The sequence below is a fragment of the Homo sapiens genome, chromosome 4, assembly GCF_000001405.40.
Source record: "Homo sapiens chromosome 4, GRCh38.p14 Primary Assembly".
Lineage (NCBI taxonomy): Eukaryota > Metazoa > Chordata > Mammalia > Primates > Hominidae > Homo > Homo sapiens.
This window is the reverse complement of record NC_000004.12, coordinates 24,488,707-24,489,643: the sequence shown is the minus strand read 5'-3', so window position 1 is coordinate 24,489,643 and position 937 is coordinate 24,488,707. Positions and strand designations below refer to the sequence as shown.

The 937-nt window shown below is 45.0% G+C and overlaps 1 annotated feature.

The window, feature by feature from the left end:
* Window positions 662–711: an enhancer, noted in NCBI's record as "active region_21368". NCBI's record gives its function as "activates an Ori minimal core promoter by ATAC-STARR-seq in GM12878 lymphoblastoid cells {active_cell/tissue: GM12878}" and the evidence as "EXISTENCE:reporter gene assay evidence [ECO:0000049][PMID:35858748]".

Below are 937 nucleotides of genomic sequence, written 5' to 3'. Positions count from 1 at the left end.
GTCTTTGAGACATCTATGTCAATCCCTTATTTGAATGTGTGAATTCCCATTCCTTCACTTTCAGTATGTTCCTAATGTTCTGAAGCAAGCTTATTTTTAAAAAATGAATAGATGTCATATGTATGTAACAACCCTGATGTCCAATAGGCTGGCCAAGTGCTCAACTAGATTAAACAAAGTCAAGCAAACAGGTTTCTTTACTGCAGGACTTCCCACGACCTTTAACATATTCACCAGTATTTTGTATTTCAGAAAGAACAGTAAATGCCACATTTCAAATACTTCTATGACCTCAGAGACCTTTTTTACAGAGGACCTTTCAGGATTTATGTTCTGTGGGACACACTTTGGGAAACACAGGCTTAAACTTACGCCCCTTTTTGGGGGAAGGTGTATGTGACCCACCATTTTGTCAGTGTCCACATGTCTGGTGTCTGCACACCTTCCTTTCCAACAGTCAAAGCTGAGTATTGCCCTTTACAGGGACCCTTTAGGTGGCCTGCTAGAGTAGGAGAAGCCTCGTTTCCATCACAATTTCCACTTTCAGCTCTGGGATCCTGGGCCGATTAACTAACCCCCCTAAGCCTCAGAATACCTAGGTTTAATATGGAGAAATACAACCTCCTCAGCCGGGGCAATGTTAGATTACATGTGGTAGTGCATCCAGAGATGGGCCTGGGAGAGTGCCTGGAACGTGTTAGCCCCCTCTTCCCTTCCTAGTAGTTCCAGGACTGAACCACCACGGGGATCGATGAGTGAGCACGCTCGCCCCCTAGTGGGCATTTCTGCCTTGACCTCCTGAGCCAACCCATCCTTAAAGAGGACTGGATGGCCTCTATCGTCCTAGTTGGTTTATTTACCAGCTGTTTTGAACTGGTGTGAGGGCAATTCATGTTAGGGTAACAAGGCAATAGATCATTTAAATGAAGGCGACAGG